The sequence below is a fragment of the Homo sapiens genome, chromosome 2 (genome assembly GCF_000001405.40).
Source record: "Homo sapiens chromosome 2, GRCh38.p14 Primary Assembly".
In the NCBI taxonomy this organism is placed as follows: domain Eukaryota; kingdom Metazoa; phylum Chordata; class Mammalia; order Primates; family Hominidae; genus Homo; species Homo sapiens.
In genome coordinates, this window is record NC_000002.12 from 131,109,446 (window position 1) to 131,131,597 (window position 22,152).

Here is a 22,152-nt window from a genome sequence, read left to right on the forward strand (position 1 = left end):
TTTGGAGGCTGAGGCGGGTGGATCCCCTGAGGTCAGGAGTTTGAGACCAGCCTGACCAACGTGGTAAAATCCCGTCTGTACTAAAAGTACAAAAATCAGCTGTGCGTGGTGGTGGGCGCCTGTAATCCCAGCTACTTGGGAGGCTGAGGCAGGAGAATCGCTTGAACCTGGAAGGCGATGGGTGCAGTGAGCCAAGATCGCGCCACTATACTCCAGCCTGGGCAACAAGAGCGAAACTCTGTCTCAAAACAAACAAACAAAAAAAACAACCAAATAGTGCTTTAAACCTTAGAATAAAAAAAAATATATCAATCTCTTGTCCACCCCCTTTTTAAACTATAGACAACTATTTTCACCTTTTTTTGGCACTTTTTAAAATAGTATTTTGGCTGGGTGTGGTGGCTCACACCTGTAATTCCAGCACTTTGGGATGCCAAGGCAAGTGGATCATGAGGTCAGGAGATCGAGACCATCCTGGCTGACACGGTGAAACCCTGTCTCTACTAAAAATACAAAAAAATTACCTGGGTGTGGTGGCGGTTGCCTGTAGTCCCAGCTATTCGGGAGGCTGAGGCAGGAGAATGGCATGAACCTGGGAGGTGGAGGTTGCAGAGAGCTGAGATCGCGCCACTGCCCTCCAGCCTGGGTGACAGAGTGAGACTCCGTCTCAAAAAAAAAAAATAGTATTTTATCTTTGTGGATATGGTAAAATTGCTATTGATTTACATGTAATCTTTTGACTTTTGATCATAGAAGACTTTTGCTGCCTTGTAAAACTCTTCAATCCACCAGTGAGTCAAAAACTTGTAGGAAATTTGTCAGTTACTTTTTTTCCTCCCCTGTAGTACTCGGTCCTGCTCCAGTCTGGACTGTTTTTTTTTTTTTTTTTCCTCCCCAGTCCTTCTGCACAGCTGCCTTTCTGGGAATTTCCTCCCCTGCCAGTTGAAGACCGAATCCTACTCTGTCGCCCAGGCTGGAGTGCAGTGACATGATCATTCATGGCTTACTGTGCTTCTACCTTCTGGGCTCAAGCGATCTTCCTACCTCAGTCTCCCGAGTAGGTGGGACTACAGGCGTGCACCACTATGTGCAGCTAACTTCTTATTTTTTTGTTGAGAATGTCTCACTGTGTTGCTGGGTTGGTCTCAAACTCCTGGGCTGAAGCGATTCTCCCACCTTGGCTTCCCAAAGTGTTGGGATTATGCTCAAGAGCCACCATGCCTGGCCTTGATTAATGATTTGACTGGGTGTGGAATTCTGGCTTGGAAATAATTTTCCGTTAGCATTTTGAAGGTATTGCTCTAGATGTCCTGTGTCTTGCTGATTGTTGATCCTTTATATATGCTTTTTTCTTTGGGAAGTTTTTAGGTTCTCTTCTTTGTCCTTGATGTTATGAAATTTCAGTCATCCTACCTATGGAGAATCTTTTAAAATTCATCATGCTGGACAGTCATTGGATCTTTTGAATCTAGAAATGTGTTATCCTGTTGCAGGAAATGGTTTTATAGTATTATTTCTCTGCTCTTTTCTCTGTGGTTTATTTATGAAATTCTCCTATAAGCAGAATTTTTTTTTTTGAGACGGAGTCTCGCTGTGATGCCCAGGCTGGAATGCAGTGGTGGGATCTCAGCTCACTGCAACCTCCGTCTCCCGGGTTCAAGTGATTCTCCTGCCTCAGCCTGCTCAGTAGCTGGGACTACAAGTGCGTGCCACCATGCCTGGCTAATTTTTGTATTTTTAGTAGAGATGGGGTTTCACCATACTGGCCAGGCTCGTCTTGAACTCCTGACCCCAAGTGATCTACCCACCTCAGCCTCCCAAAGTGCTGTGATTAACAGGTATGAGCCACTGTGCCCAGCCAGCAGAATATTTTATATTCCAGGCTCATCCTCTAATTTTTTTCCATCTCTTGGTCTTTTTTTTTTTTTTTTTTAGCTCTTCATTTCAGAGAGATTTCTTCCATCTTGATCTTTCCAACTCTTGTATTGAATTTTTAATTTTGGTTATTATTTTTAATTGAGAGCTCTGAATATTTCTTTTTATTCTTGTTTTTTTTTTTTTTGAGATGGAGTCTCACTCCAGTCACCCAGGCTGGAGTGCAGTGGCACTATCTCGGCTCACTGCAAGCTCCGCCTCCCGGGTTCACGCCATTCTCCTGCCTCAGCCTCCTGAGTAGCTGGGACTACAGGAGCCTGCCACCACGCCCAACTAATTTTTGTATTTTTAGTAGAGACGGGGTTTCACCATGTTGGCCAGGCTGGTCTCGAACTCCTGACCTCAAGTGATCTACTCTCCTCGGCCTCCTAAAGTGTTGGGATTATAGGCGTGAGCCACTGTGGCCAGCTGTAAAGTAATATTTTTAAAGTTTTCTTTTGTACCCAGCATTGTCTCTGATTCTTGAGGTTTTTTTCTTGAAAATTTTATTTTCTTTAATCTCTATCTTTTATGGTCTAGATTTTTCTCCAGTGTCTGATTGTGGTACTGTGAAATGTTTATTTTGTCTTTGACCTCATTTCCTGCCTTACAACTCCTATTTAATACAATCCTTAAAAATCTCCAAAATGATGTCTTTTTGTATGCTAATGATTGATTGATGGCCTGCAGACTCCCTTCAGGATGGGAGCTGGTCATCTGAAACACCTATGCGACTTTAGAGGGTTGGAACTTTCATGTCTGCCCCCCAACCTTCCAGGAAGGAGAGAGGGGTTCAAGGTGATGTTGATCACCAGTGGCTGTTGGTTTAATCAATCATGCTAATGTAATGAGGCCTCCATAAAAACCCAAAAGGATTGGGTTTGGGGAGCCTCCAGAATAGCCGAACACCTGGAGGTTCCTGGAGGGAGGGTGGTGTGCCTGGAGAGGCCTGAACACTAACACCTTGCCCTATACATCTCTTCATCTGTGTCCTTTGTAATACCCTTTATAATAAACTGGTAAATATAAGTCATTGTTTACCTGAATTTTGTGAGCTGCTCTAGCAAATTAATCAAACACAGGGAGATGGGGGAATTCTAATAGACCTAAAGAAAGAAACTAAAGCAAAAATTACTATAAATAGAGAGTTTATTTAGGCCAGATTTGAGGACAGCAACCTGGGAAGCATAGATTCAAGTTGCTCTGAATATATGCTTTGAGTAGCAACAGTTAGAAGTGGGATTTTAAAGGGCAAAAATAGGGGCAGTTTCTAAGTTGAACATAAACTATTGGTTGGCTGTATATTGTTCTTTGTACCACACATTCCAGGAACATGAAGAAAATGATTGAGGGTCACATTGTGTAACTTGTAGTAACAGTCTTGGTAATTTATCAGCTTGTCTGGAAACTACAGGAAAGGGAAGATTAAAAAAACCCCAAGTCCCTTTAAACAGTTAACCCTGAGCGTGGCTGGGGCTGTGGTAACTAAAGACCCATTTTCTAAATTTTGCCGGCTTTATGTTCTTCAGATTGCTCTGAGCTACTTTTCTTTCTCACTGACTTAAAGCTAGTTGATCACATGTTCCAGAGGCCCTGACTTGTGGCTGGTGTCTGAAGGGTGGGCAGTCTTGTGGGACTGAGCCCTCAACCTGTGGGATCTGATGCTATCTCCAGGTAGATAGTGTGACAGTTGAATTGCAGGACACCTAGTTGGTGTTCGCTGAAGAATTTTTTTTTTTTTTTGAGACCGGGTCTCACTCCTGCCCAGGTTGGAATGTAGTGGTGTGATCACGGCTCACTGCAACCTCCCCATCCCAGGCTCAAGTGGTCCTCTTACCTCAGCCCCCCAGTAGCTGGGACTACAGGTGTGTGCCACCATGCCCCGCTGATTTTTGTATGGATGAGGTTTCACCATGTTGCCTAGGCTAGTCTCAAACTCCTGAGCTCAAGTGGTCCCCTGACCTTCTCCTCCTAAAATGTTGGGATTACAGATGCGCAACACTGTGCATGGGCCTGCTGCATAATTGATTTCTTGCTTGGTATGTGGGGAGAAACCCTCACACATTTGGTCACAGAAGTCTTCTATGTTGATTGTTGTGACGTGAGAGCAGAGGAAAAACAGTATTTTTTTCTACTCAGACTGATGATACTTGCTCTGTATTCCTATTTAAGAGAGGTACTGAAAAGCTGATTGGAAGTCTGTGTGTTTGCTTCAAGTCTGTCTCTTGGTGAGCTTCTCTGGAGGGTGTTAGGCAAAGTTTGGCTTTTTCATTACAGAACACCCAGTTGTCAGTATCAGTGAGCCTTTCCTCTTGGGACTATGCCTTTGCTCTGAGCTAGAGTCTGAGAAGTAAGGAAGAAGATGGAGAATTTGACTTTCACGGACTATATTCTTCTAAGTGTGGCCTGCGACTTTAAGCTGTGTGTAGTGTGGCCACGCCCAGTCTCCAGAGGCATCATCTTCAGGATCAGGGAGGGTCCCTGTCTGCTTGGGTAGGGTGCCTAGTGACCCCTTTGAAGACTTTCCATTAATTCTTCTGATTTCTCCCCACCTCTAGAATTCTCTCTTACCCCCAATTTCTGAGTCTGTTTTTATGTGGCAGGAGTTGGCTTGCTGTGTTTTGGCTTCTGTTAGCACATAACAAAGTAGAGGTGGCCATATTTTATGTTAGTTGACACTTGTCTGTTTGTCTTAGAACTTTCAAAATGTTGTGTCTCGTCTGCTTTTGTCTGCTGCTGTTCTCTGTGGATTTATGCCTTGTTTTCTCCTTAACTCTCATTTTAGTTGCATTTCAGGAGGGAGTGGCCCAGGCTGGAGTGCAGTGGCGTGATCTCAGCTCACTGCAAGCTCCGCCTCCTGGGTTCGCACCATTCTCCTGCCTCAGCCTCCCGAGTAGCTGGGACTACAGGCGCCCGCCCCCACGCCCGGCTAATTTTTGTATTTTTAGTAGAGACGGGGTTTCATCGTGTTAGCCAGGATGGTCTCCATCTCCTGACCTCGTGATCCACCCTCCTCAGCCTCCCAAAGTGCTGGGATTACAGGCGTGAGCCATGGCCCATCCCTGCCCTGGAGACATTTTGCCCATTGTCTTGGTGATTAACATTGGACTTCTTGTTACTTATGCAAATTTCTGCAGCAGGCTTGAATTTCTCCCCAGAAAATGGGTTTTTCTTTTCTGTTGCATCATCAGTTGGCAAATTTTCCAAACTTTTATGCTCTGCTTCTTCTTGAAGGCTTTGCTGCTTAGAAATTTCTTTTACTAGATACCCTAAATCATCTCTCTCAAGTTCAAACTTCCACAGATCTCTAGGACAGGGACAAAATACCACCAGTCTCTTTACATAACAATAGTGACCTTTACTCCAGTTCCCAACTAGTTCCTCATCTCCATCTGAGACCAGTGCAGCCTGGACCTTATTGTCCATATCACTATCAGCATTTTGGTCAAAGCCACTCAGCAAGTCTCTAGGAAGTTCCAAACTTTCCCACATCTTTCTGTCTTCTTCTGAGCCCTCCAAACTGTTCCAACCTCTGCCTTTTACCTGTTTCCAAAGTTGCTTCCACATTTTCAGTTATCTTTTCAGTAGCATTCCGCTGTACTGGTACCAGTTTACTGTATTAGTCTGTTCTCACGCTGCTAATAAAGATATACCCAAGACTGGGTGATTTATAAAGGAAGGAGGTTTAGTTGACTCACAGTTCCACATGGCTGGGGAGTTCTCACAATCATGGTGGAAGGCAAATGAGGAACAAAGTCATGTCTTACATGGTGGCAGGCAAGAGAACTTGTGCGGGGAACTCCCATTTATAAAACTGTCAGATCTTGTGAGACTTATTCACTACCATGAGAACAGTATGGGGGAAACTGTCCCCATGATTCAGTTATCTCCACCTGGCCTCACTGTTGACATGTGGGGATTATTACAATTCAAGGTGAGATTTGGGTAGGAATAAAGCCAAACCATTATCAGAAAGTATGTCTTTTTTTTTTTTTTTTTTTTTTTTTTTTTTTGAGATGGAGTCTGGCTCTTTTGCCAGGCTAGAGTGCAGTGGCATGATCTTGACTCACTGCAGTCTCCGCCTCCCGGGATCAAGTGATTCTTCTGCCTCAGCCTCCCGAGTAGCTGGGACTACAGGCATGCGCCACCATGCCCAGCTAATTTTTAATATTTTTAGTAGAGACGGGGTTTCACCATATTGGCCAGGATGGTCTCGATCTCTTGATCTCGTGATCCACCTGCCTCAGTCTCCCAAAATGCCGGGATTACAGGCGTGAGCTACTGCGCCCTCCAGAAGGTATGTCTTTTCTTTAACACATTCTACTGTAATATATCTCATTTTAATCATCTTATACCCAGGGTACCTTTCAGCCTTAGTTGGTTGTAATAGACTGTAATTTTTACTTTGAATTTTACACTTGTGTCACAATTTAGCCATTAGATTCTCTTTCTTCAGCTGAGTGGCTTCTTGATGCTTTCTGAAGGCACTCTTGAAAGCATCTGTGCTTTTTGATAATAAGATATCCTGCCCCTAAACTGTAACTAGCTCATTTTCAAAGAGTACTGGCTTGTTTTAGAGGAGACTAGTGGTAGAGATAAAAATCTGCTCTGGGAGGTACATGAGATTGTTCCACAGAATGAGGAGAGGTAGACAGGATGACATAAGATAAGAAGCTACTTGAGTCAGCAGAGGAATTACTCTTTTAAAAAGTGAAGAGTTTCTGTTGCTAATTCCAGTTTAAGTTCTTTTCTGTCTCATAATCTGATTTCCCCTTTCTCTAATAGTTTTATTTTATATAGGCACATGAAAGATACGTTTATAATGTCCTCTAGATGTAGACATTTCCATTTCTTTTTTCTTTTTGAATCTTACTCAAGTGGCCCGAGTTGTTTCCCAAGTCTGCTGTTCAGTTTCTCCTTGTTGCCATCCCTTGAGACTCAACTGCCTGAAAAGTAAGAGAAACCCAGGCTAACCTCAAGGAAACACCAGAGAAAACATAGGCACAACATTCGTTGTATTAGTCTGTTCTCATACTCCTTTAAAGAACTACCTGAGACCGGGTAATTTATGAAGAAAAGAGGTTTAGTCGACTCAAGAGTTCTGCAGACTGTACAGGAGGCATGGCTGTGGAGGCCTCAGAAAGCTTACAATCATGGCAGAAGGCAAAGGGGAAGCAGGCATGTCTTCATGTGGCAGTAGGAAAGAGTGAACACACTTATAAACAAGTAGATCTCCTGAGAACTCTATCACAAGACCAGCAACAGGGATAGTTGCCACCGTGATCCAGTCACCTCCCACCAGGCCCCTCTGCCAACACTGGGGATTACAATTCCACATGAGATTTTGGGTGGGGACACAGAGCCAAACCATATCATCTGGCAAATCAGATGTTCACCCACACAATTAGTACATAATACTCCAAGATATCAGGAAATCTCAGGATCCTTAAGGTTTTACCTAAAAGTCTCTTTTAACTCTTTATCGGCCAGGCACAGTGGCTCATGCCTGTAATCCCAGCACTTTGGGATGCCAAAGCAGGCAGATCACTTGAGGTCAGGAGTTTGAGACCATCCTGGCCAACATGGTGAAAGCCTGTCTCCACTAAAAATATAAAAATTAGCTGGGTGTGGTGACACCTGTAATCGCAGCTGCTTGGGAGGCTGAGGCATGAGAATTGCTTGAACCTCAGAGGCGGAGGTTGCAGTGAGCCTAGATAGTGCCATTGCACTCCAGTCTGAGTGACAGCTAAACTCCGTCCAAAAAAAAAGATAGCAAATGTAGCCAAATTAATATCAAGAACCATTAGAAGGCTGGGCATGGTGGCTCACACCTGTAATCCCAGCACTTTGAGAAGCTGAGGCGGGTGGATTGCCTGGCCAACGTGGCGAAATCCTGTCTCTACTTAAAATACAAAAAATTAGCTGGGTGTGATGGCACACGCCCGTAATTCTAGCTACTTGGGAGGCTGAGGCAGGAGAATTGCTTGAACCTGGGAGGTGGAGGCTGCAGCGAGCGGAGATCATTGCACTCCAGCCTGGGCGATGGCACAAACAAAGAAACAAACAAACCCATTAGAAATGTAAAGAAATTGACCACAGAAGTTCAGGAGACTCCTGTTACTCCACGTTTTTATATTCACTGTGTCCTGTAACCGCCTGCGAAGTTGCATGGCTGTGTTTCAGTCAGGTTTTGTATTTGTCATGACTACGTAGTTCTCAGTACCTTTTCTAGTAATTTTTAGCCTGTTCTCATTTTTTTTTGTATGAAATATACTGGGAATTCACATTATGGATGCAGGAAGCTGTAGTATGAATATAAATATCTAGGATTTGACGTGAATGCGTACGTGCTTTGCCCTCTCATTTTTTTGTGTTCTGGGTTAATAACCCCACTGCACAGATGTGATACTGTCTACAACATTCCTTCCTTTTTGTTTCGCCTGTTTCTTCTGCTGTACTAAGCTACATGAGAGTAGCATTTTGGCTTGGTCACTGCTGTATCCTTAGTGTCTAGGACAAGGCTGGACACAAGTAAGGTGTTCTAAGAATATTTAATGAAAATATGATGCTGGTAGTTCTCTGCTTCAAATCCTTTTGGAAGTAAAATGATTGTTTTAGGATATTTTAGGCTGTAAGTTGCAGGAAACCAAATTCAACCATCTTAAGTGATAAACCCATCATGCTGCTTAGTAGAAAGTCTTGGGTAAGGGTGGGTTTGGGGGTTGGTGAAGTAAGTGGCTCAGCAGTGTGAGCTCTGCTGTCTCTGCGTCAGCTGCCCCCAGCCGGTTCCTCATGGTCAGAAGGTGGCTGCCAGCACAGTGAGCAGCAGTGTGCTTCCCTGTTAACATCATCTTAGAGACAGGGAGACTGGCTTTTGTTTGCTGGGGATTGTATGTTTGAGAACCTAAATGTGGTAGAGAAAGATTGGGGAAAAATGAAAAACATTTCGTTTCTTGGTAAGGACAGATAGCATGAATTGAAAAAAACTGCAAAGAGAGCAAGAAGCTTCAGCGTGCATGATTTTGGAGATGCCGGAGTATGGGGTGACTGAGGCTTGTGGCACTCTTTTTAAAGGTTTGGAGAAAGATGAGAAGTCAACCATGCTTAGATATGGGGAAGGAGCTACATTAGAGACTCATTTGTTCTTCTGAGGTGCCCACTTGCGCTTGTGCTAACCTTACCAACCTTAGTGCCTTAAAGAAATAGCTAAAAAAGCTAAAGCAAGGCCAGGCGCGGTGGCTCATGCCTGTAATCCCAGCACTTTGGGAGACCGAGGTGGGCATATCACGAGGTCAGGAGATCGAGACCATCCTGGCTAACATGGTGAAACCCCGTCTTTACTGAAAATACAAGAAAAAATTAGCCGGGCGTGGTGGCGGGCACCTGTAGTCCCAGCTACTTGGGAGGCTGACGCAGGAGAATGGCGTGAACCCAGGAGGCGGAGCTTGCAGTGAGCCGAGATTGCGCCACTGCACTCCAGCCTGGGTGACAGAGCAAGATTCCGTCTCAAAAAAAAAAAAAAAAAAAAAAAAAAAAAAAGCTAAAGCAGAAAACAAAAGTGGCCCATGGTCTCAGCTTCCAGATAATAACTATTGATTTCAAAAAATAAAATGGCCTGGGTGCGGTGGCTCATGCCTGTAATCCCAGCACTTTGGGAGGCCGAGGCAGGTGGGTCACCTGAGGTCAGGAGTTCGAGACCAGCCTGACCAATATGGTGAAACCCCGTCTTTGCTAAAAATACAAAAATCAGCCGGGCATGGTGGCATGCTCCTGTAGTCCCAGCTACTCGGGGAGGCTGAGACAGGAAAATTGCTTGAACGTGGAAGGTGGAGGTTGCAGTGAGCTGAGATCGCGCCACTGCACTCCAGCCTGGACATCGCAGCAAGAATCCATCTCACAAAAAAAAAAGCATGCAAGTTGTTAACTGTTTCAAACAGTACAGAAAGGGGTAATGGGACCAATCACCCTCTTTGTTCTGTGACACACACAGAATCGCCTCATTTTGTTTCCAGAGACACATCTTTCAAAGGTTTTAGGATTCCTCCCAGGAGGCAGCCTGCAGCACATGCTGCTCCGCCTTGCCTGCCTGGTGATCTGTCCTGTGTGGAGGTACCCGCTCAGCAGTCCTCCGTCGTGGGGCATGTTGGCGCGCTTCTGCAGTATGTGTGATGTTGCCGCGAGTGTTTATATATATATCTGTGTTGGTGAACCTCTGCACATATCTCAGTGAGGCAAATTCCTAGTCATGGTGAGATTGCTGGGGCAAAGTATATGAACTATTAAAGTTTCAATAGATTTTGTCAAATTTCCCTTTGGAAAGGTTGCATCAGTTTTCTTTCTGCCATTGTGCTTTCTCCTTGCTGGGTGTCTTGGAGGTTTTCATTTGTGCCCACCTGAGAGGTACAGTAGTTTACTGTACAGTTGGAATTGTATCTGTTGAATTGAGTGGGAAATTCAGTGTCTTTTTACGAGTTTGTTGTTCTTTTTTCTGTGTGTTCTTTTTTCTGTGAACTGCTAAATTATTGCCTTTTCTGTATGATATGTGTGAACTTTGTAAGTGAAGGAAATAAGCTCCTTGCTGCCATATGGTTATGAATATTTCTTCTTCTTCTTTTTTTTTTTTTTTTGAGACAGAGTCTTACTCTGTTGCCCAGGCTGGAGTGCAGTGGTGCAATCTCGGCTCACCGCATCCTCTGCCTCCTGGGTTCAAGCAGTTCTCCTGCCTCAGCCTCCTGAGTAGCTGGGATTAGGCACGGACCACCACACCTGGCTAATTTTTATATTTTTAGTAGAGACGGGGTTTCACCATGTTGGTCAGGCTGGTCTCAAACTCCTGACCTCCTGATCCGCCCACCTCGGCCTCCCAAAGTGCTGGGATTACAGGCATGAGCTGCTGCGCCCGGCCAATTTTTGTATTTTTAGTAGAGATGAGGTTTCACCATGTTGGCCAGGCTGGTCTCGAATTCCTGACCTCAGGTGATCCACCCTCCTCGGCCTGAGCCACCGTGCCCAGCCGTGACTGTTTCTTCTAATTTATCACTTTTAAAGTCTCATTTAACTTTTTTTCCATACAGAAGATTTAAATTTTTATGGAGTTGACTTTATGAACCTTTTTCTTGATGACTTTTGTTTTTTTGCCCTGACCTGGCCACTCCACGTCACTCACTGCTGACACCAGTGCAGCACCCCTGCCTGGGCCATGTGGACCCCACTGGGAACGCCAAATGTAGGCACCTCAGGGCTCCAGCAAGCCACGAGAATCCCCCATGTCCTTGACAGAGCTAAATCCTGTGTCCCTGGGGCTGCTTTATGTTTGTTGAGTGGTGTTAGACTCGGTCAGGTGGGCTGGGTGGTGAGGCTGAAGGCGAGTGTGGGAGGAAGGGAGGGGGTACAGAGTGCGGGGCACATGAACCCCAATGAGGAGGTGTTTGTTAAATGCCAGGGGGGCACTGAGCTAAAATGGCCTTGGGCCCTTCCTCAGCTGATGCTGAAGGGGATAAGGATAGAGACTCGGGCCGGACAGGCTATTCTCTTTCTGGGTATGATTTTGAACCTGCCTGTTTTTGTTCTGTAGGTGAAGAGATGGCGTTTGTGAAGAGTGGCTGGTTGCTGCGACAGAGTGAGTACAGGATGTGCGGTCTGCGATCGGCATTGCCGAAGGGCAGTCTCTATTTCTGTTTGCTTAAAGTTGATCATATTTAAAAGCAAATAACAAAGTTTTATGAGTGCTATGGCCTTGAGTTTCCCCTTGGACATTCCTAGATCTCTGTGAACTGTCTTGCACACCACGGAGCTCCTCCTTGGTTGCTGAGTTGACAGGAACCAGGAAATGATGGCAGTCCCTGCTGCTTTCGCTCTCCTCACTAGCATGCTTTACTTTTTAATTTTAATTTATTTTATTTATTTATTTTTTGAGGCAGAGTTTCACTCTTGTTGTGGAGTGCAGTGGCGCGATCTCGGCTCACCGCAGCCTCCGCTTCCTGGGTTCAAGTGATTCTCCTGCCTCAGCCTCCCGAGTAGCTGGGATCACAGGCACACACCACCATGCCCGGCTAATTTTGTATTTTTAGTAGAGAAGGGGTTTCTCCCTGTTGGCCAGGCTGGTCTCAAACTCCCGACCTCAGGTGATCTGCCCACCTGGGTTCCCAAAGTGTTGGGATTACAAGCGTGAGCCACCGTGCCCAGCTGCGTGCTTTATTATTAATGATGGATCTGGGACTGCCTGGATCTAACTGAGCCCAGCTGAGATACTGGAACAGAGGTGCTGGTCTCTCTGCCTGTCTTATCTGGGGATTGAGCAGTGACTCAGATTCTCAAATATTGGAGTCTTTGTAATTATGTGGCTGAAGAGTTGATCTGAGGCAATGAGTTCATCTAAAACCAAAACTTTTGTGTCTCCAAAAGGACTAGAGAAGAGACTCAGTTCTTTTTTTATGGGATTGAGATCCACTTTCCTAGGCTTATCTCTGCAAACCTGTCTTTCATACACTGTCTGCTTATCTCTGAGGCTGTCACTCCAGGTGGGATTCATACTGTGTTTTATTTTTATTTATTTATTTATTTATTTTTTGAGATGGAATTTTGCTCTTGTTGCCCAGGCGCGATCTTGGCTCACTGCAACCTCCGCCTCCCAGGTTCAAGTAATTCTCCTGCCTCAGCCTCCCGAGTAGCTGGGATTACAGGCGCACGCCACCATGCCTGGCTAATTTTGTATTTTTAGTAGAGACGGAGTTTCTCCATGTTGAGCCTGGTCTCGAACTCCTGACCTCAGGTGGTCTGCCCGCCTCGGCCTCCCAAAGTGCTGGGATTACAGGCAAAGTGCTGGGATTACAGGCGTGAGCCACCGCGCCCGGCCTCATACTGTGTTTTAAAGTGGGAAGAACCAGTCTTATTTATTAAAAAATGCAAGCAGAATATTCTGCTATACTAGAAAGAGTGAAGTTAAGGGAAAAGTGACTACCATGTCATTTATGATTCTAGTCAAAAACTGAGCTGTATCACATACCATTGATTGTTCAGAGACTTGAGTTTATCTATGAGGGTTACTTTCAGAAATTTAGCTAAAGTCAAGTCTACCAGTAAGAATTGATGGCATACCTGAGATGGTTTATCAAAACTATTGTTTACGAATTGTTTGTGTTCCTGTTAAATAGATTTTATGTATATATTCTTAATTCTCACAACAGCTGTATGAGAGGTAAGTGGTATTATTTCCAGTTGAAGAAATTGAGATTCAGTGAGGTTAGGTACTTGTCTAAGTGTGAACTGTGGGTGACAAACCTACATTCAAAGTCAGGACTGTGTGATTTCAACACTGACATTATATGCACCCAGAGACCGGTCTTCAGCCTGTGTGTCTGTGACTAGTTCCATGTTCCCAACCTGGAGCTGAACTGTATGTCCCCTTGTCTGTTAGTCCTGTAGTCTTAGAATAGACAAAGGTGTCGTAATGTTAGCTTCACAAAGAAAGTCCTGGCTTGTTGAAGTCTAGCCCAAGTTTCCTAGTCTTGGGTTTTGCGGTCTCAACGTCCCCATGGTCAGGGGACATGGGGACCCTTGCTCAGACCTTGAGGGTGTGCCCTCCTTTGGCCCTTTGGATGTCCTTTGCCACACCCTTGTTTGAGGGCAAGCTTTCCCTTTTCCACCACAACTTGAAGTAAGTGCTCTGTCAACATAGTGATCAGTGACTCTTTTGACAATTTTGTCCTCCCCATCACGCCTAGCATGGTGATGTACACAAAATAGATGTACTTTAAATAAGTCACATAGACTTTTCCAGTGTTCTGGTCCATGGGTGTTTCAGAAGTGTGTATTCAGACGATTTACTCTGTATATAACCCCATCCCCATATGTATGGGTTAATTTTCCTTCTTTCCTGAAAGTAGAAGTATCAATGCCAGTAAAACGAGGTGAGATACATTATATTCACGGGGTTGTAGAGCAGCAGAGATACACATGTGATGTGGTCACAGGTAGGCAAAGCCAGCCTTGGGACTTATTTTCCTGCCATTGCCACATGTACTGTTGGGACCCAGTCCTGGCCTCTGGAGGACAGCCTGACTTGGGAGTCTGCAGCCAGGGCTTTGATGGCAGGTGAGATACTTGGGCAGAACTCCCTGACCCAGTGGTTCCACCTGTCTCTGTGTTTCTGTGGCTCTATTTAGTAGGGCTTTTTGTTTGTTTGAGACAGAGTCTTGCTTTGTCGCCCAGGCTGGAGTGCAATGGCATGATCTCAACTTACTGCAACCTCTGCCTCCTGGCTTCAAGCAATTTTCCTGCTTCAGCCTCCTGAGTAGCTGGGATTACAGGTGTGCGCCACCATGCCAGGCTAATTTTTATATCTTTAGTAGAGATGGGATTTCACCATGTTGGCCTTGCTGGTCTTGAACTTCTGACCTCCTGGTCCACCCCCCCCACCCCCCCCCCCGCCCCCCGCCCTCGGCCTCCCAAAGTGCTAGGATTACAGGCATGAGCCACTGTGCCTGGCTTTTTTTTTTTTTTCTTTTTAAGACAGGGTCTTGCTCTGTTGCCTAGGCTGGAGTGCAGTGGCGTGATAACTGCTCACTACAGCCTTGATCTTCCAGGTTCAGGTGGTCCTCCTGACTCAGACTCCCAAGTAGCTGGGACTGCTGGCTTGTGTTAGCATGTCTGGCTATTTTTCTCTTTGTAGAGACGGGATCTTGCTTTGTAGTCCAGGCTGGTCTCAAACTCCTGGGCTCAGGTGATCCTTCCACTTCAGCCTCCCAAAGTGCTGGAATTACAGATATGAGCCATTGCGCCCAGCCTATTTGGTAGTTTCTGCACAGCTCAGGTAGTCAAGTGGATGCTTGGGTATCACTTAGTGGTCAGTTAGGCAAGTGCAGTGGACACCCCTCCTGGTGAGGAGAGTGCCTGATACTACTGGCAGGAAAGCCGAATGGCGCATATCTGGTTGACACCAGTTGCAGGCACGGCAACATAAAGGGAAGTACACGAAATGGGATTGTGTGTGTTGGCCAAGAATGGGATGAGATGTACAGGAACAGAAGGTGTAGTGGGCAGTGAATGGATGTGAGGAAGGTAAAGAGATGACCGGAGCTACAACTGGCCTTTAAGTCCACTGCAGGGGTTTTCCCTTCATGCAGTCAAGGAAATTACTGTTTTATATACCAAGTTAAAGGAAATTACTGTTTTATATACCACGTTAAATACCTGGTCCAAGATCACAAATGAAAGGTTGAATTTGCTCAAGCTGACAGAAGTACGTGAGGTAGTAGGATGTGCACAGCATGGGAGGCCAGGCAGGGCCTGGTCTATATCCTGCTGTGCTCATTTATCCAGTGTATGCATCAGGAAGGGGGGAGCCTTCCACACTGTGGGCTTCTGTGGGAAATGGTAGGAAAGAGTATCTGTGAAAACTCTTAAGGACAAAGAAAAAAAACGTGTTTTTTCTTTTTTTTTTTTGGAGACGGAGTGTTGCTCTGTCCCCCAGGTTGGAGGGCAGTGGTGCGATCTTGGCTCACTGCAACCTCCACCTCCTGCGTTCAAGCGATTCTCCTGCCTCAGCCTCCCTAGTAGCTGGGATTACAGGTACGAGCCACCACGCCCAGCTAATTTTTTGTATTTTTAGAGATGGGATTTCACCATCGTGGCCAGGCTGGTCTCGAACTCCTGGCCTCAAGTGATCCATCTGCCTCGGCCTCCCAAAGTGCTGGGATTACACGCGTGAACCACCGTGCCTGGCCAAAATGTGTTTTTTCAAAAGAGAAAGATATTATTTTTATTTGCGTATAGAGACTTCACAGTCCAGCATTTTCTGATCAATCTGGCAATTTAGACAATATTTGGAAATTTAGAAAGTTGAAAAGTTTGAGAGGTTTAAAGTTTAGTACTGTATGAGGAATTAAATGTTAGATATGTTTCATTTGCTGAAAAGCAAGCTTTTTAATAGAAACCCTAACCGGAAAGTGTTGGAACTTCTAAGTTGGTTGGCAGCATTCTCTGTTGACAGTGTGTGCTGCATGCAGCCTGTTAAAGCACCAGTTGGCGGGCCCTGTGCTCTGCTTTCCCTTTCATTGTGAGGGACTGCTTTGGGTAATTCTATACAGGTGTAATTAAGGGGCCAGGGGAAGAGTTCTTTTTGTTTCTGCTGTGAATTAGAGGACTATGTCCTTGCTCTTTTGGCGCAAAGCCAACCTTTCAGATTTCTAAATTTTGAAGGCTGAGCATGGTGGCATGTGCCTGTAGTCGCAGCTAAACGGGAGGCTGAAATGGGAGGATTGCTTGAGCCCAGGAGTTCAAGGCTGCAGTGACCTATGATCATGTTTGTGAATAGCCACTGCATTCCAACTTGGGCGAAATAGTAAGACTGTCTCTAAAAAAAAAAAAACAACCGTACTATTTTTTTTTTCCAGGTACTATTTTGAAGCGCTGGAAGAAGAACTGGTTTGATCTGTGGTCGGATGGTCACCTGATCTATTATGATGACCAGACTCGGCAGAATATCGAGGATAAGGTCCACATGCCAATGGACTGCATCAACATCCGCACGGGGCAGGAATGTCGGGGTAAGCTGGCCTGTCTTGGCCAACTTCTGTCTTCTGCTCTTCCTCTGTCTTGCTGGGAGCTTGGTCCTCTTCCTTCCCTGTTCTGCTTTCATTAACAGATTGAAGAAGGGCTCCATCTCAGAGGGGCGACCACAGTGGGGCCCCAGGCACTTAGATTATGAACCACATGGTCGGGAAATATCAGTGTTCTCAGTCCACGTCCCTCGTTCTCGTGGAGAGGGAGCCAGAGCTCTGGGAACCTCAGGAAGCACAGGCCACCCTAGACTACGTTGATTTTGTACTCAGAAACTGGCTTCTGTTTGATGGTGACTCCAGTCAATTGCTTAAAATCTGGGATGTTGGCCAGGCATGGTGGCTCATGCCTGTAATCCCAGCACTTTGGGAGGCCGAGGTGGGTGGATCACGAGGGCAGGAGTTCAAGACCACCCTGGCCAAGATGGTGAAACCCCAACTCTACTAAAAATACAAAAAAATTAGCCAGGTGTGGTGGCAGGTGCCTGTAATCTGGCTACTCAGGAGGCTGAGGTAGAGAATTGCTTGAACCCGGGAGTCAGAGGTTGCAGTGAGCCGAATATATTTTGTGGACGTCATCTTGGCAGCTGGTCTTGTCAGTCAGCCTAGCTATGTTCTTTCTGCATTCTTGGAAAGGCAGAGGGTTCTTTCATAGATGTAGCACTTGATTTATTGTCTAGTCCTTTGCTTCTCTGAGCTGGTAGTTCTTAGAAAATGTAAGAAGAAATCCTGAAAAAAGTTCCTTTATTCTGCTTATTTTTCATAGATACTCAGCCCCCGGATGGAAAGTCAAAAGACTGCATGCTCCAGATTGTTTGTCGAGATGGGAAAACAATTAGTCTTTGTGCAGAAAGCACAGATGATTGCTTGTAAGTTTTGCTTTCTTATGTGTTTAATTTAAAAAGTATTTTCTATTTTAACTTCTGATTACCAAAAAATGAAAAGAAAGGGCGTGGAGTTTTCTTTCAGGCATCAGAATAAGGGACTCAGTGGATGTATGAGAGAAATGCAAGAGTCGCTTTTCCAATTCTAGTTTCTGCCTCTCTCAGACTGCCTAGGCCGATCCCATTGTGGTGAAAATGGCAGAAAGGAATAGCAGTCTCATCATGCTGTCTTTCATTATTAGATTCACAGTGGGTAACGGGCATAGTTGAAATAAAATGACCAGAAAAGCAAGAAAGTAAAGAGTAAGGAAACTGTCAGTTCCTAGGGCTGCTGTCACAAATTGCTGAACACTGAGTGACGGAAATGGCAGAAATTCATTGTCTCATAGTTCTGGAGGCTGGAAGTCTGGAATCAGTGTGTCAGCAGATCCTTGCTCCCTCTGAGATGCTGGGTAGGATCCTTTCTTGCCTCTTCCTAGCTTCTGGTGGTTGCTGGTAGTCCTTGGTGTTCTTTGGCTGACAGCCACATCACTCCGGTCTCTGCCTCTGTTGTCACATGGCCTTCTTCGGCTGTGTCTGTGTCCAGAATTCTCTTTTCTTATAAAGGACACCAATCATAATGGATTAAGGACCCACCTTAATTCACTATGACCTTATCTTAATTTGATTCCATATGCAAATATCCTATTTCCACATAAGGTCCCATTTGAGGGTACTGGGGATTAGGATTTATACATATCTTTTTCATGAGGACACAATTGAACCCATAATAGAGACTTTTGAGAAAGATGGTGAAATGGATTAGAGATCATCTTCCCTGAGGGGAAAACATTTCAATGGTGCAACCAAATAAAGAAGTTTGATCTCAAGCACAAACTACAAACAGTTAAAGAAAGAAATAGATGATTCTACTGAGATGTTCTTCAATCCTACCCGAATCCCAGAAGCAGTGACAAGATGAGTTAATTAAATCTTGCAAATTTTCAGTATTACCCTGTAATCTGGAGTGATGCTGATTAAGTGTAAGTTACTTTTTGGAAAAGCTAGGGAAAAAATCCTTAAGAATGTGATGTCCTTGGGGCCTCAGCAGAGGCTGGACGGTTCTCCCAGGACTCATCATTGCAGGGCAGTGAAAGGCACTGAAGCTCACAGGAGTTGGGTAATTTTCTGTCTGGTGAAGTGAGCCCTAGCATGGGACATTCAAAGGAATATGCTCAGAAGAGAGTGTAGGACCCAGAGTTTTCAGAAAAGACTTACTCGGTCTCAGAAGAAATGTCCTTCTCTTCTAGCCCTGTGCCCTCAGATTACAGAATGTTGATTGTGAGGGTAACACCTAGCCATCAAACTGTTGCTGGGCTGGACTGAGGTAGAACAGGGTGGAACTACCAGTTGATACCAGATTAGGTAGGAAGCGTGTCAAGGAGAAATAACTCATACTTTATGAGAGCAAACAGCAGTTTTAGATATCACTTCCCATGTTAAACGTGAGCAGGATGTAAAGAAGTGGCTTGGCAACTATGCAGATATACCATGAAGGAAAAATAAGAAAAGGAAAATGCAAGCCTCAGGAAAAGCTCCTAGAGTGGAGGAAAATAAAACCCAAGAAACAGGAGCAGAGTCTTCAGGAATGCTTTCCTGGCCACCATATTTAAAATTGTATCTCCCTGTCCCCATACACACTCACCATCTATCAACTATTTATCTTGTTCATCATCTGCTTTCATTAGAATATATGCTGTGTGAGGGCAGAGATTTATGTTTCTTTTCTGCTCTTTTGTGTCTGTAACTTAGAAGGTCTGTTGCTGTCAAGAGGGTGCCATTCACGTTATAATCTGAAGAAAGTGGTCTTCCCTTCAATACAACCCCAAATGAAAAGTGAATCATTGGCATGGAAGAAAAGACTGGAGATACTCTCAGTGACAGGAAAAAGATGAAAAGATCAGAGATATGTTAGACTAAAAAAAGTTCAGAAAGATTATTGATGTCCATAAAGTGTACAACCCAAAAGAGAGAATTACAAATCTAAGGCAAGAAAAATGTTCTGAAATAATCGAACTGAATTGGCAGACCAAAGTCCCTACTAGACTCTTCCACCTGATATGACAACAAAATCTATATAAGATATATGAATAATCCAGTATGATACCCTTTAGCAAAGTGAATGACAATGGTATGCCACATACAAAATCAGTTGGGGAATTTTGCAACTTAACTGCATTCCTTAGAAAGCTAGAACACTTGGGCTGGGTGTGGTGGCTCAAGCTTGTAATCCCAGCACTTTGGGAGGTCAAGGCGGATGGATCACCTGAGGTCAGGAGTTCGAGACCAGCCTGGCCAACATGGTGAAACCTCGTCTCTACTAAAAATACAAAAATTAGCCAGGCGTGGTGGCAGGCACCTGTAATCCCAGCTACTTGGGAGGCTGAGGCAGGAGAATGGCGTGAACCTGGGAGGTGGAGGTTGCGGTGAGCCAAGATCACACCACTGTACTCCAGCCTGGACAACAGAGTGAGACTCCATCTCAAAAAAAAAAAAAAAAAAAAAAAAAAAAGAAAGCCAGAACACTTGAAAATAAGTGAATGAATCTTTCAACTCAGGGAGATAGTAAAATGAGAATAAAACATAAAAGGAATTGATGAAGATAAGAGGGATAGGGTCAGTAAGAAAAGTAAGGGGTAAAGGAGTGAGGGAGTGCACAAGAGAACACTATTTTGTTTTTTGAGATGGAGTTTCGCTCTTGTTGCCCAGGCTAGAGTGCAATGGTATAATCTCCGCTCATTGCAACCTCTGCCTCCCGGGTTCAAGCACTTCTCCTGCCTCAGCCTCTGGAGTAGCTGAAATTACAGGCATGTGCCACCACGCCCAGCTAATTTTGTGTTTTTAGTAGAAGCTTGGTTTTACCATGTTGGCCAGGCTGGTCTCGAACTCCTGACCTCAGGTGATCACCTACCTTGACCTCCCGAAGTGCTGGGATTACAGGCGTGAGAGACTGCTTTTTGCCTATGAATTAAGAAAGCTCTTGTGATACTTAAGGTTCAGATATCTAGTTTTTTTTGACAATATAGTGTAAAGTTGGTAGGTATAGAGATTGTTAGAATCGTTTTGCAGGGCATTTTGGCAATACCTGCTGAAATAAATTATGTTTTTATCCTTTGATGTGGTATTTTCAGTCTTTGGAATTTGCCCTGTGGAGATGTTTACATAAGAGTGTAAGGGTAATAGGGATGTTAATAGCATTCTTTTCTTCTTTTTTTTTTCTTGAGATAGAGCCCCTCTCTCTCATCCAGGCTAGAGTGCAGTGGTGTGATCTTGGCTCACTACAGCCTCGACCTCCCAGGCGCAAGCTATTCTCCCACCTCAGCCTCCCAAGTAGCTTGGACTGCAGGCATGCGCCACCATGCCCGGCTAATGTTTATATTTTTTGTAGAGCTAGGATTTCACTATGTTGCCCAGGCTGGTCTTGAACTCCTGGGCTCAAGTGATCCCCCTGCCTTGGCCTCCCATAGTGCTGGGATTACAGGTATGAGGCACTACATCCGGTCCCCAGCATTCTTTTTAATGTTGAAAAATTGCTAATCTAAATTTTTTACTCATATCGTGGAATATTATATAGCTGGTAAAAAGGAAGTAGATCTGTGTGTATGCCATGAACTGACAAAGCAAGTGGCAGTACATTTCACATTTATTAAAAAGTAAAGTAAAAAGTATAGTATAGATTATGTTTTAAATATTACATATCTATTATGTATGTAATTTTTAAAAATATATATTCCTAGTGCATGTCTCAAGTGGTTTGGGGCAAAGCCTGAAGACTTGTTTTTTAAACAGATCTTTTCAGGAATTCTGATGCCAGCCCAGGTTTCAGAATCATTGCAATGTTGGATTGCCTTAAATAAAGTACCCTTTTTCTTTTCTCCAGGGCCTGGAAATTTACACTCCAAGATTCTAGGACAAACACAGTAAGTTGCTAATGGCAATCACCAATAATTTTTTTTTTTTTTGACAAGGTGTCACTCTCACTCAGGCTTGAGTGCAGTGGTGCTGTCTCACCTCACTGCAGCCTCTACCTCTCGGGCTCAAGTAGTCCTCCCACCTCAGCCTCCCCTTCCCAGTAGCTGGGACTATAGGCCCATGCTACCACGCCCAGCTTATTTGAAAAAATTTTTTTGTAGAGACGAAGTCTCACTATATTACCCATGCTGGTATCCAACTTCTGGGCTCAAGTGATCCTCCCACTTTCGCCTCCCAAAGTGCTGGGATTACAGGCATGAGCCACCACACCCGGCCACCAGTAATGTTTTCACATGGTCTTGTGTAACAATTGGAGAATGGGGAAAACGGGTTTCTTGACCATCTGGCCACGAATGGGCAGGTAGTGCTGGGCAGGGCGCCTTTTGCCAACAGTGAGCAAGCTGGGTTTGTCAAATGTTTGGCAGGAGGCACCCTGCTCTTACAGGCATGCTTGTTCCAGTGTTGCTTTCTAGAAATGCTTGTATTTCTCAAAGTTCTGCAACACTTTGAATTGTGCTGTGGTTTGCAGTAAAGGCTTAGAAAGAACTGCAGGATCCTTTTCACGCATGGGAGCTCAGCCTGTGAAACAAACATTTTTGTGACTTGTACTTGTCTCTCGTCCTGTTTCTGGCCTTAGGAGGTCACTGAGACAGTGAACCTCATTTGTAGAGCCTCGTAATGCTGTCTTTATCTGTCAGTGATCAAGGGAGTGTGTTACTCTGGTCAGAGTTTTCATTCTTTAGATGGGATTTTTCTCTCCTTTATTAATCTGTAAGAAAAGAAGA

At 44.7% G+C, this 22,152-nt stretch overlaps 1 protein-coding gene across 20 annotated transcripts in view, besides 1 other annotated feature; it reads left to right on the top strand.

Annotated features, from left to right (window-relative positions):
• The window catches only part of PLEKHB2 (pleckstrin homology domain containing B2), a 44,510-nt gene that overhangs the window by 4,110 nt on the left and 18,248 nt on the right, over nucleotides 1-22,152 (top strand). For 9 of the 20 annotated variants that reach the window (XM_011511385.4, NM_001267065.2, XM_011511386.3 and 6 more), the window contains exons 2-5: nucleotides 11,489-11,533; nucleotides 16,308-16,460; nucleotides 17,239-17,341; nucleotides 21,276-21,315. In XM_011511385.4, coding sequence (XP_011509687.1) covers nucleotides 11,497-11,533; nucleotides 16,308-16,460; nucleotides 17,239-17,341; nucleotides 21,276-21,315 — 333 coding nt within the window. In that variant the 5' untranslated portion in view covers nucleotides 11,489-11,496. Of the gene's footprint in view, nucleotides 1-11,488; nucleotides 11,534-14,124; nucleotides 14,223-16,307; nucleotides 16,461-17,238; nucleotides 17,342-21,275; nucleotides 21,316-22,152 lie in introns of all 20 variants that reach the window. The other 11 variants (XM_017004408.2, XM_017004410.2, XM_047444846.1 and 8 more) reach the window with 5 other exon arrangements.
• Nucleotides 4,455-5,044: an enhancer, noted in NCBI's record as "H3K27ac-H3K4me1 hESC enhancer chr2:131871473-131872062 (GRCh37/hg19 assembly coordinates)". NCBI's record gives its function as "activates a minimal SCP1, AML or CMV promoter by ChIP-STARR-seq in naive H9 embryonic stem cells {active_cell/tissue: H9 hESC(naive)}" and the evidence as "EXISTENCE:reporter gene assay evidence [ECO:0000049][PMID:30033119]".